Source organism: Homo sapiens, chromosome 9 (assembly GCF_000001405.40).
Source record: "Homo sapiens chromosome 9, GRCh38.p14 Primary Assembly".
Lineage (NCBI taxonomy): Eukaryota > Metazoa > Chordata > Mammalia > Primates > Hominidae > Homo > Homo sapiens.
This window is the reverse complement of record NC_000009.12, coordinates 40,445,457-40,459,752: the sequence shown is the minus strand read 5'-3', so window position 1 is coordinate 40,459,752 and position 14,296 is coordinate 40,445,457. Positions and strand designations below refer to the sequence as shown.

Below are 14,296 nucleotides of genomic sequence, written 5' to 3'. Positions count from 1 at the left end.
ACATAACATTATGCATTTCTCAAAATCCATAAGAGTTTTTGAGCTTGAGGAGGAAACATTAATTTATATAATTTTAAAAAAAACTATCCTTTAGGAAGTAGAGGGATTGCAAGATGGAATGCAGAGTGTGACAAAATATTATAACTGTATTGAAAATATATGAAACAACCTCACTGAGATGGGTGGGAAAAAATGCGTTGAAATAAGTAATTTCAGAAATGAGAGGAGACTGTAAAATTAAAGGTGAAAGGAAGTGTATACAAGCACAGTGCTCCAGTTAATAAAGTTGTTTCTCATGGAAGTATGATGTAACGTTTCTGACATCACCGTATATGTACACTGTGAATGAACAATTAAGAAAGTGAGTGATGAATGGTGGCCGGGAACAAGTAGAGGGTTATTCTTGATATTCTCCTCAAATTTCTTTAATTAATTAGTAAATGAATTAGCAAGTCCCTAATGGCCTTTAGAGTCTGCTGAAGGAGATGAATAAACAGCTGACTATTAATATAGCATAATATAATATAGTGTTTAATATAAACAAAGGGCTATGTGAGTGTGGACCAAGAGACTATTATTTTCACCTTTTATCTAAAACCTTGAAAAAGTTGGCACTTCTACCTTACCTTAGATAGTAAGCAAGAGTTAGATAAGTTGAAATGACACATTTTTCATGCAGAAAATATTACACACGAAGACATGGAGGTTCAAAATTTCCAGGTTATAGGGAAATTGCAGGATGCTGAAAAATGCAGGTTGCTGAAAGGAATGCAGTATGATGCAAGATATTTGATGTTGGGCAAAAATAATTTTAACTTCTATTATACAGTCTGTAGAGAATGGGCAACATTGAGGGGTAACAGAAGCCTTTGTTACTCCATCTTTGAAAAATAAATAATAATAATTATCCCATTTAGATATTAAAGATTAAATAGGTTAGTGAATTCAAAGTATGCCATATAAATTCTGGCAAATAATATGTTCAAAATAAATTGTAACTTTGATTATTAAAACATATGTATACACACACGTACATATATATGTATGTGTATATGTATGTGTATGTGTGTGTGTATAACAGAATTAATTGTATATCATAGTTGAAGTAAAAGAATGGGAAGAAAAAATACTTTAATGGGCCTCCAAATAGGACAAGACTATATACATATAGTCTTGCATATATATATATATATATATACACACACATCTAAATAAAATGTATCAATACACACACACACACATATTCTCAGTACATGGGGATAATCAGAAAGATGGCTACAAAAATACAACCCTCTTAGTTTTATATAACCCTTTATAAATATATAAAACTAAGAGTAGAAAGAATGCCTTCTGAAGCACTGTAAACTAACCTAAGCGGGGTAAAGTCAGAGGATTTTACTATGTTGGAACTGAATTTATTAACATAGTTATAGAAAGAGTCTGTCAATGAAAGGAGAATTAGTTGCCTATGGAAACTGAGCTACAGATGAATCTTTAAGGCATAAATCTCTTTTCCACCTAAGTGGAAGTCCAATTCCTGAGGCAGGAAGTCTGGGCAAGTGAAATTGCCAGTTAAGTTGGTAAGCCTTCCTACAATAAAAATAAATGCATGTGCACATTTATATTAGCTTGATGGTGTTAAATATTCTAATCATTGAACTTTATTTTTCTGATCTAATACATACCCAGCTATCATGTGACTACATTTTGTTTTCCCATACAGATGTGCGTTTGGGTGGAAAGTATGTACTGTTTATGCTGAAGTAAGAATTTTATTTTATATAACATAGTTCTTGTTATAAATTAATAAACTAACATTCTGATTGTTTATAGTCATTGTGTGTTGAATCGAGTCTCCAAAATGAAATACTAATCCCAATACTTGTGAATGTGACCTTATTTGGAAATAGGTTATTGCAGATGTTATTTTGAAACAGGGTCATATTGAAATGGGATGGGCCCTAATTCAATGACTGGTTTCTTTATAAAGAAAGAAAATATGGACACAGAGAGACATAAAGAAATATAAGGAAGAAGGCCATGTAATGACAGAGGCAGACAGTGGGGTGATGCATGCACAAGTCAAGGAACACCAAAAATTGCTGGCAACCACCAGAAACTAGAAGACACATGTGGAACGGACTTTAAGTCAGAACTTTTCAGAAGGAACCAATCTTGCCAACACCTTGATTTCAGGCTTCTAGCTTACAGAGCTGTGAGACAACAAATGTTTGTTTTTTTTTTTTAAGCCACCTATATTGTGATACTTTGTTATGGCAGCCCTAGAAAGCTAATACAATAGTCAAAGGGAAATAAATTATCTCCCTGTAGCCTAAAACTTTAAAATAATTTTTTTTTCCCAGAGGCCTTTTCTTTCATTTGTTGGTTTTGGTTTCTATACAATAGATCAAACATCTTCACTAATAGTTTTCTTAGACATTATTTTTGGAAACATTTTTAAAGGACTCATGGAAATCTATAATCTATGCTGATTGACTACTTCCATGTAAAGAATTTGATATTTTTCATAGTTACTACTGGCTGTTACTGTGCTATTCCTAATTGTCTTGAATGTTGCGTATGTAGCATGAAATCCCAATTTTTATTGAAGTAGGATATATATATATATAACTCTTCTATGGTTGTCTTCAAGCCGGAGCCTATTTGTTAGCACTGCAGGGCATCGTGTGTGTGTGTGTGTGTGTGTGTGTGTGTGGTAGAAGCTACTATATGAGAAATGTGGAGATACGCCTTTAGTTCAATTCTTTAGCTGCTAACTAATTTAGAGTTCTTACTGTTGTTTTAGTCAGGAAATAATGAAATATATCATCAATAAAAAGTTAAAGGAACAAGGTGAATCAGTCCAATGGGAGAATCTAAATCTTCCCAGGGATCTGTCCAAATCCATAAAAAGAGTACCATTTGATAGGTAACAGCAGGGGATTAAAGACTGAAGCAGTTTGCTGCAGGCTATGAATGACCTGATCCCTTAATCCATCTGTCTTTTTATATGAGAATGTTATGCTAATTAGCTGAGTAAATTGTTTCCTGATGATATTAATTTTGTGCCTTTCTGTTATTCTAGGCTTTGACTTTCACTGTGATAAAAATATACGAAGGGGCATTTTCAATTTAGATGGTTCCTATCCTGATAAATTCCAACACAGCAATGTTGTGGGGGAAACATGTATAAATAGCAAACTTAATCAATCCCGAGGATAGACATAGATGACTTTAGCTTCCTATATAATCATTCCCTTTAGCTTCTAAAGCATTACATTAACACACTTGAAATGTTAAAACATAATTCAAGGAGAATTTTAGGAAATGCAATTTTCATTGCCCCATTTTCTTTGGAGAAAATCAAGACTTGAATTCATTAACATGGAGGAAGTAATGGAACAGATAGTCGTGATGTGAAATCCTGCAGGTGTTGTGTTCTGATAATGCATATCCTTTACAAGTTTGGGTAAATTATTTGCTTTGCATATAAATTAACTCCAAAGCTGAATCAACATTAGAATAATAAAAATGTAGAGAATATTTTTATTCCAAGGAAGCAAAGATTTATAGCAAAATATATCCAAATCCTAGATGCAATTTCAGGAGGATAGATTTAAAAATATTTATCATACTCCAAAAAGAAAAAGGAGAAAGAAAAAAGGAAAAATACATACAATTGAGAGAAAGGAGGAATGGTTTTGGAAAATACAATATTATGTTATTATTGTTACATTAGGGAGAAAATAATTGAGAATCGATACATTTGTTTTTCAGTATAAAAACAAAAAGATGGCACTTATTTAACAATTCTTAAGTGATGTCTTCTGAGCTCCACTTTATTGGGTATGTATTGTTCCTAAGCTAAAATCTAATTTCAAAATATTACGTATTACAGGTGTAGTGTTGTCTTGGTCTGTGTTGTGTTGCTGTAACAACACCTGAGACTGGGTAATTTATAAAGAAAAAAAGGTTTATTTAGCTTATGGTTCTGGTGGCTGGAAAGTCCAAGACTATGGCATTGGCATCTGTTGAGCTTCTGATGAGAGCCACATGCTATGTCACAGCAAGGCAGAGAAACAAAATGGAAATCAGGCAAATCATTGCTTTATAAAAGAGGCAACTTTCTTTAGAATGACCGGCTCTTATGAGAACTAATCCATTATCATGAAAAATAACCCAGTTTCACCAGAAATTTATTAATTTGTCTTAATGACCTAATCACCTCTTCAAAGCACGATCTCCTAACACCTTACATGGGAAATTAAATTTCGACATGAATTTTGGAGAGAATAACCCATGTCCAAACTATAGCAAGGGTAAAGACCCCAAATTTACTTAGACATGGGGATTAATAATCATGTGTCATTGCCAATAAACGTTTTCTTTCTTTTGCACTTCCAAAGAATTTTTTCACCACCTATTTTCCTCTATGTTTTTCTTTCTCTAGTATTTCTTTCTCTAAAAATTTGTGCTTGTGTAAATAATTTGCAAATGCAACTTTTTTCTTCTTTGAAATGATAGCTAAATTCAAATTACTTTTATCTTATTCAAAATTCAGAGAAAAATTCAGAAGTGACCTATTAGATGTTTGAGAATGTGCTATACTACATCAGGTGCACAAGTTCCTGTGAATAAGAAGCAAAAAAGCTAGCACTTTCCCCACTTCTGTTTTTAAAGAATAAGCTTATCAATGGATATTGAGGAAAAAAACTACTGGTAATATTTAAATGGTAAAATGGGTATGGTAAAATAATATTACGAGCATTTTTTCAAGTAATACATTTTGAACTTTAAGTTTTCTTCTGTTAATTTTATCTGTTTATAGGAGTAATCCTGTTTTGTTCACTTCAGTATATTCACTATTCCTTTCCCTTACAGTCAAGCATTGGACATGGCCTTGATATTGCTGGTGATTACCCATAGGGCTCAATGTTCATCTTTTGTTTCTAAATTCCAAAAGCAAAGTTGATTCTAAAGGATGATAATAATCATTAATAATTCATAGAATACCTATCTCCAAAACAGAATCAGGAATGCTATAGACAATAATAAGCACACATTAAACCAACTGGGCACTGTGCCCAGAAGATCAGCCAAGTACACACAATAGGCAAGAAAAGAGCTTGTATGTGTGTAAGGAGAAATAAGAAAGGGAAAGCAACGCGTAAAAGGCTTCCAAACAGAACAACCAGGGAGTCAACAGATTTTCAAACTTTCACAGAAACCAGAAATATTTTGAAGTCATTTCTGCTGGGTCTACTAACTGTCTTACAATGTAAGATAGCCATGAACCCCAATGGAAGAAGTAGAAGCAAATTGAGTATATTCTAAAAAATTCAAAATTTGTAGGCATATTAAGTTTTAGGTTTTACAAGCTTACAAGTGGTGAATTACAAGACCACAATATAGGTGTAGGTTTATGGGCTTTTTTATTTGTGATGATGACTTAAACCAACCTTCTTTTTTCTATATGATTTGTTGAAATTAAAGCACTGTACATGTGATTATGACAAGGAACAAGGAGTCTCATGTATATGTTTTCTTATATTATAAAACAGCACCTGAACTTTTTCATGTCAGATCTCTGCTGGCAAATTAAAGGAGGAAAATACCCCCATGAACTGAAGAAACCTATGGAAGTTAGCTTATTGAAATGCTGCCGGAGTCTTCATTTAGAGGGGTTTTTATAGGTAGTAGGTCTAAAGGATACTAGCAAACAAAAAATGCTAACAACATTTTTTTTCCCAAGGGAGAAGTACCCCACCAAATTTATTCCATGTAGGCCTGAGGGTTGGATACTAATTTACTTACCATGTATTTATTATAAAACACTACTTAGGCAGGTGTGACCAAGCTATAATTGGCAAGAAACCAGGGATGTACATTTGCTTTTGTTATTATAGCTAAACTAGAAGAAGACTAAATCCTTTAATAGGAATAAAAAGTTAACACAATGATTTAATTTAGTTCTACTTAGTATAGATAACATTTGGTAGAGCTTCAGGAACTTACTATATATTTTAGCCCTTAATTTGTAATGAAGGCATTGACAGTATAAATCTTGGGATAAACTAGGTAAATAAATTACTTTTTTTGAATATGAATGTTCTTTTTTATTTATCCTGGAGTCATATTCAGTGAAGTGAGAAATGCATTTTGTTAAACTGACACCTAGATTTCAGGGAGAATATACTCAAATGATAAAATATTTATATCAAGAAAATAACTTTTACTCCATGACATTATATTATTTATCAGATATAAGTGTCATTAAAATTCATTTTCAAACTGTGTAAAAGAGAATGATTCCTATGCCAATGTTTTCTTACAGTGTGAAATCTTATATTGATAAAAGTACAATATTTATATATGAAATTTTGGAAAGCTTTGAGCATAAAGTTCTCAGTCACATCATAACATTTTCTCTGACAGTGTGTGTGTCTTAGGGTAGGGAAAGAGAGTGGTTGAATGTCCATATCTTACTAACTAAGATGGTATGCCCACTGTCTTAACAATTTACTTCCTGTATTGACTCGACTAATTAGGCTGCCATAACTTTATTTCTTAATTGTTAATATGTTGGGGAAATTATCAATAAGTATAGAAAATGACAAAGTTATTGTTTCTGAAAAACTATGAAAAAGAGGATAGCCTTACTTATGCAGAGCCTATTAAAAAGAGAGTACTTTTTCTTCTTAAAATGCATAGCTTGACCAGCTCCATTTAACACTGTTTTTTAAAAGACGTGTTAATATCCTAATGGTATAAATGAATTCAGTCATGACTAGTTGAGTCAAAGAGATTTAAAAATTATTTGAACTGTTTTATCAAATTTCTAGCTCATTGTTTAGTGCTAGATATTCACAAAACAAATAGTTAAGTTCCTAAGATTATTGTTGCAAACTGTGGGAACTAAAAGTCTTTAATTACATTACTTTGAAAGCAAAAAGTGATTTCCATGCAAAATATTTTAAAGGATTTCTACCCAATGTCAAATTTTCTCATCTATTCATTTAATAAGAATTGATTAAATATCTGTTGTGTCTTAAAAATCAATGACGAATAACATCCTAAACTTCAGCAAGCATATGGTTGAACACTAAATAAAGAACAAAAACCAAGGTAATTACAGTAGAGTGTTTCAGTGATATATTACCACCAAGAACAGAGAGCTATAAAAATCACTGGAAGAACAACTAACTGAATCTTTGGGGAGTGAAGAAAAGCTTTCTTTGGAAAATAACCTCTAATCTCATATCTAAAGGACCAGTAGGAGTTATCCATAAAAAGGAGAAAGAAAATTCCAGGTAGTTGAAATGGCTTGCTGAATTGCAAGGGCACAGATTACTAAAATGTTTAGTAATACTCATGGTAATTTTGTTTATATTTTTGAAACAGATATCATGTAGTCAACACAATAGGTCAAATCAGGACCTTTGGTACACATAACCCTTTTTCTGTAAGGTGTTGATAGGTATCATTTGAATAAAATTGGTGATATTTAGTGTTTATTGGTGTTTGGGAAAAACATGTGCTTCCTAAAATTTTAGCATATTTTCCTATATGATTTCTCATTAATAAATTAATGCACAAAGCAAATATCCAGGAGGTGTTAATAGTAAGCAGTAATTTCCAAAATTGCATGACCAAGAAACTTTTTACTCATAGAATAACTGAAATACTTTTCTCAGGAATATACTTTGAGAAATATTGCTTAAATACATGTGGAAAAAAAGTGTTCTAAATCCAAGTTCTTTATGATGGAGATTACTGAATCCAAGTGTTCTAAATCCAAGTTCTTTATGGTGGAGATTACTGAAAAAGTATGGGAGAAAATTATACATTTTGATAGAAAATCGTAAGAGTTGAATGGTGTTTGCCCAAAAGGTTTGTCCACCCAGAATCTCACAGTCTGACCTCAATCGTAATAAGCATCTTTGAAGATGTAATAAGGTAATAAAGTGTGCTCATCCTCTATTACAATAAATTCTAAATCTAATGAGTGTCCTTATAAGAGATAGAATAACAGAAAGACACAGAAAAAGCGGGGAGGCATGTGAAGACAGAGTCAGAGAGACTGGAAAGACAAAAACCGCTAAGAATTGCTGACAGCATGGAATGGGTTTTTTCTGGGTCTCCAGTGGAAACCAATACTGCCAACACATTCATTTGTCTTCTGGCCTCCAGACCTGTGAGAGAATCAATTTCTGTTGCTTTAAGTCATCAAGTTTGTTGTAATTTGTTATGACAACCCTGGAAACCTAATACAACAATGTGATGCTTTAGAACCAGTTGTGTTCGAACAAATTTAAGCCTTAACTCATATTCTTACCAAACAGTCCCCAATGAATTATGGATGTCCTTTGATTTCATGTCCTTGCATTATCCTCCCAACCAGACAATAGATTAGCCTTGTGAATTAGTTGAGCCATGAGAATGCAGCTAAAGAGACACTGTATAAGTTTCAGTCCTAGGCTTAAGGAAGCTTTATAGCTTTTGTTTACTCTGTCTTTTACCTTGAGCCACTGTGCAAAGATGTCTAGGTTAGCGTCCTTGTGGATGAGACACCTTATGATGAAAAAGACCAGGAGGAATGAAAGACTGGGAAGATAGAGAGGAAGACCCAGTTAGTTTCTAGTCATTCCAGCACAACATATGAATGGGGCCAGCTAGGATCCTCCAGTCCCTATGGAGCTGCCTCTAAATACAAACATATTAAATAGTCCAGCAGAAGACACCATCTAGGGAAGAGATGAGCCACCCAGCTGAGTTCAGCCCAGATTGAAGAATCATGAGCAGGTCCATCTGTGCTACTTAGCTGTTTTAAGCTGCTATGTTTAGACTGGTTTATTATGCAGCAATAGAAAGCTGTAACCATCTAATATGATTATCAAGTATGTGTTTTTAAAACAAAGACAAAAAAGATGAACAGATATAAGATTAGGTTGTGTGCTGTAGCAAAGGTGGATTTGACCTTTTTTTAAGTTAAGAATTTTGATAATCTACCATACATTTTTAAATTCTTTCTTGCATTAACTTTATCTCTGGATAAAAAATTCAGGCCACCCGTAAGTAAATAGAAACAGTAGGCATAAATACACAAAAGGAAAGTTATATTAAAATTCTGCAGAAATGTAACAAGAATAAAAAAGCTGAACTGGATTTTTAGGATGTTCTACACTCAGCTTTTATGAGAAACAGACAAATGACAATCTCATGCCAAGGATTTGTTTTAAAAGGCTGTATAACAGGTAGACCATTGACTAACACATGTTTTACCACCTTTATCTTCAGAGTACTGCAGACAAATGATATTCATAATGACTCTACACGATACTGAAATGGTATCTGAATATTAACAACTAAATTCTGACCAGTTATGATTTAAAACATTTAGCTATTTATTGATTGTTATTTTTTTAAAAACTTGGAATGTGCATTATATGTATATTTAACTATAAAGTCACTGAACATTTAATTAACATATGTCCTGTTTTTCAATCATTACTAGGAGTAATCTTTATAGAAATACAAGTAGCAACCATTACCACAAATGAATTCTCATAAGAAACAGTTATTCAAGTCTTTTTCTCTCTCTCTTTGTCAAACGCATGTGCACACACACACACACACACACACACTTTGTATGCCTGTGGATTGTGTGAGAGAGAGAATGAGCCTGTAAATACAGAATTATATCAGAATTCTTGTAGCAAATAAGCTATCAGGAAAATTGAGCCAACTTAGTCTTGGTCTTGTGAAGGACATTTTCTCTTTTCTGACCTAGTCTTTTCTATTAAGTGAAAGATGTCACACAATGACCACTCATCTATTTTTGATGGATACATGAATTGTACATTACATGGAAAGAAGAGAGAAAATAATCCTAATTTTATATAATGTACAGGTTAGAAAGCCTGATACAGACTAATATAAAATTAATGCTTTGAATAAATTTGTTTATACTATTGCTCTGTTAGTGTTGCTACTTTTGGTTTGTTTTTCAATTGTTTTTCCAATATGTATTTAGTTTGATTTTTAATAATCTTCTCTCTCTCTTTTTTCTTTTCTTCTCCTTTACCTCTTGCTCCTCTTCCTTACTCTCCTTGCCTTCCTCCTCAGTCTCCTCATCCTCATCTTCCTCCTCATCCTCTTTCTTTGTTTTCATTACAAAATAAAATAAGCAATCAGAAAAGTTCATACAGATATTGTTACTTGTCTTTAGGGACCTGGATCTAACTTAGTGCTGTTGCTTCTGTTTCTTCCCTTTTGTCCTCCTCTTCTTTTTCTCCTTTGTGTTCTGTTTTACTTTTTAAAAATAGATGCCACAACTCTGATTTTTAATCTGATTGTGTAAATGATCCTTAATAGTAAAATCAATTTTAATATCTTACAAAACAGAAGCACAGCAAAGCATTTTGCAGAATTTACCATAAAGTAAATAATAACCATTCCTAGTATGATAATGCTGCAACTATTTTTCTTTCATCCTCTGCAACATTTTTATCTGACACAGTCTCTGCTGTTTCCAAGTTCAACGTCCTGCAGCAAGCCTTGCCAGCAATACAGAATACTTTCAATTAGTAGTTCTCTACTTCTCTGGTAGCTAAGCAACTGACCTGTGGTGAAGAATACATAATGATCTGCATAGACACCTTAGAGCAATAGAAAGTACAAGCTTCACAATTTCATTTGCTCTCTTGTGTTGATGTTACAATAACCAGTTAAATGCATGGAAATATTTGATAGTAGTTTGCTATAATAAACTTTAATAAAGATTAAAAGAAGCCTTGGAGAAAGGTAGAAATAAACACAACATAAAATATTGTATTTGTCATTTGTTCATGTATGTCATTTTATTGTTTATAGGGAGGGCAAGCAATCAGGTTAATATTTTATTAAATGTTTATATTCTAGCTACTGTTTAAGACAGAATTCATCAAGTAGCAGAAGTGATGGAAGGGCCAAGGGGAAGAAAGATGGACAAAACCTGAAAATTGAAAGTGCAATAAAATGAAAATTACAAATGAAAACCAGTATGCCTGAGTTATACATGACTGTTTAGTAGAGTGTCTTCATGTGGGTTAAAGAAGAAAAGGAAATACCAGCTGGAATCAGCAGAACAGATTTAGCACTTGACCCTTGGATACTTTTCATTCTATTTATCTATCATATTTTTATTGGTTTGTATTCCATTGACTACTATATGCACCGACCCTCAGCAAATTCATTCAATAGAGAGGAGAGATTATATCTCCACTGTATCAGTGGAGCTGCTTAGGAACATTTCTCCCGCTTCTTGCATGTATTTTGTCCTATTTGTACATTGTATTTTATGAGCTGCTTTAGAATAGTAGAATAACTTTCCTTTATATGGTATAGAACTTTTGATATATCTCAAATAAATTTTTTAAAAATGATCAATTGAAATGTATGTTCTCATACTGTATGTGCAAATATCAGTAGTACAAACACTAAGGATTAATGAAAATGAAAATCCTAATATATTAAACTTAGAAAAATAGACTAAATATTTACTGAAAAGAAACAGATAACCAAAATTTCGTGATACACAATGAAAAGCCTTGAGACATTAAAGAGGACTTTCACTGCCTTTGATGATGTCATCCTTTACCTATTAGGTTCTTCTAGCATGGTAACTAGAACTAAACTTTTAACTTCCTTTTAAACCACACACTGAATGCATCTGTGAAAAAGACCTGCATACTACAAGATAACTTTAATTACATATCTTCTGTGGGGTCCGTGCTTTTAGTTTAGTATAGGTTTATGCAAAGTGATACTATTGGTAATGTGTAATTTAAACACACACACAAACTAACAGGCCCTGCCGCCTATCAATGTCTGGGTGATATCAGAGAAGGCCGTGTGGGAATCTAGAACTTTCTTCTCTGCCAGGTAGTTACAATGTGCCCCGTCCTTCTCCACCAGATTCCTTAGGTGTCAAAGTAAACTAAGTGAGAAGTTGGAACTTTCACCATCATCTAGTGGTAAAAAGGTCCAAGGCCTCCTGATGTTTGCCTTCCCTTCAGTGTAGGCCATAGTGGGAGCAGAAACAAGAAAAAAATCCCCCACTCTCCAAAGGTGGTTGAGCAGGGATAAATTTTTATCACCACCTAGCAATAACAAGGCACCCCCACTTTCACCATGTGTGGTGTCACAGGAGGTTTATTTCCAAGAGTTAAAATACAGAGCCTCATAGCATAATATCCAAATTACCCTAGATACGTTGAAAATTACTCAGCATATCAAGCACCAGAAAAAAAATCTCATCTTGAATGAGATAACACATGCCAACACAGTGATAACACATAAATTAGATTTATTCACAAGGATTTTAAAGCCACCACCATAAAAATGTTTTAATGAGCAATTGCGAATATGCTGGAACAAATGAAACAATGGAAAGCTTTACAAAGAAATAGAAGATGCCAAGAGACAAATAGAAATTTTGGCACCGAAAAATATAATTGAAACTTTAAAAAATACTTGATGGCTCAATAGGGTAATGGAGGAAATAGAGAAAAGAATAAGTGAACTTGAAAATAGGACATTAAAAATTTACTAATCCAAAGACCAGAGGGAGTATAGACTGAAATTGAAAAAAAAAAAAAGAACAGAGCCTCAAGGACCTATAAGACTATAGCAAAAAATCTACTATTCATGTCATCAGAGTCCTAGAAGGAAAGGCAAAAGTGGGTTGGGCTAAAAATATATTTGAAAAAATAATGTCCAAAACGTTTTCGAGTTTGGCAAAAGACATACAACTACAGATTCAAGAAATGAGAAAATCTAAAACGGGACAGATACAAAAAAATCAACAAAGAAACAGGTCAATTTCAGAAAACAGCAGAAGAAAAAATCTTGGAAACAGTGAGGTAAAACAATGCTTCATCTCTCCAGAAGAAAAACAATTTGAATGACAATGATTTCCTGTCAGAAATAATGGTGGCCAAAAGGAAGTGATATATTTTTCAAGTACTGCAAAACAAGAACTGTCAAACCAGAATTCTGTATTAGGCAAAAATGTCCTTTAGAAATGAAGGAGAATTAAATAAATTCTCAGAAGAAGAAAAATTAAGAATTGGTTGCAAACAGACCTACCCTAAAGAAAAGCAAAAAGTTCTTGAAACATAAAATGAATAAGGGGCCTGAAATCATCAGAAAAATGTAAGAGTAACAGAAAGAGCAAAAATATGAATAAGTACAACAGATTTTTCTTCTTGAGTTTTCTAAATTATGTTTGACTTTTGAATCAAAAACTGTAACATCGAAATGGTTATCAATACCTAAATGAAAAATTTTTAAAATTATATAAACAAGGATGGGTAAAGAGACTTCCAACGAGATAAGATTTTTACACTTCACTAGAAGTGTTAGATATTTTGATAGTGGTAGTGGTCACAAGAATTTACACATGTAATAAAATGACAGATGTATGCATACACATTTTTTCAATATCAATTTCTTGGTTTTAATGTTTTACTGTAGCTACAAAAAAAATGTAACCACTGGGGAAACTAGGTGAAGAGTATGAGAGACCTCTCTGTACTATATTTGCAACCTTCTGTAAATCTATAATAATTTCAAATCAACAGTTAAAAAATAAAAATATATCTAATAGACCAATAGTTTCATATGGAGGGCAGAATGATTTAAAAAAATGAGATATTTTGTTTATGCATACCTGTAAAGGCATCCATGAAAGGTATTATTAACATTTGAAATTATGTAAGTCCAATGCTGCAGGAACATGGGCATACTATAGCTTATTTTAGATGCTTTAGAAAGCCAAAGTCATCTCTGGTAAGTTCTACATTGATGATAATAACCTGAGAGACTTCTCAGTCTCCAAAATTGCACTATTTCTAAAATATAAGTAAATATTCCCTTCATCCTAAATCTTTCAAAGTTTAAGAATGTCATTGATAGTCTTCGCTTTAGAGGAAAATACAGAGATCAAGAAAAAAGGTCTGGAAAAATGAAAAAAATAATTTTAAAAGCTTCCTCAGAGAGAAAGAGTTTCAGACGGATATAGTTTAACTATATTAACTCAGCCATGAATTTCTTACTTCTCTTCTAGTACCGGTTACTCTTTTGCTGAATGAATCTACCTTATGAACACAAGTTAAAAAAAATGTACCCATGATAAGTAAAACATTATTAAATACAGCTATTTTTATAAAAGTTTCAAGTCAAAAATGGATCCATTTCTGTTCTTCTTCTTACAGGGAGTTGCTTATTTCCCATCCTTCATTAAAAGGGCCAAAAA

General features: G+C 32.8%; 1 long non-coding RNA gene across 1 annotated transcript; it reads left to right on the top strand.

The window, feature by feature from the left end:
- The first annotated feature begins 1,405 nt into the window (after positions 1–1,405).
- LOC107986995 (uncharacterized) lies at positions 1,406–11,423 on the top strand. The gene is made up of 2 exons (XR_001746461.1): positions 1,406–1,763; positions 10,921–11,423. It is a non-coding gene; the product is annotated as an uncharacterized LOC107986995 (long non-coding RNA).
- Positions 11,424–14,296: the final 2,873 nt, after the last annotated feature.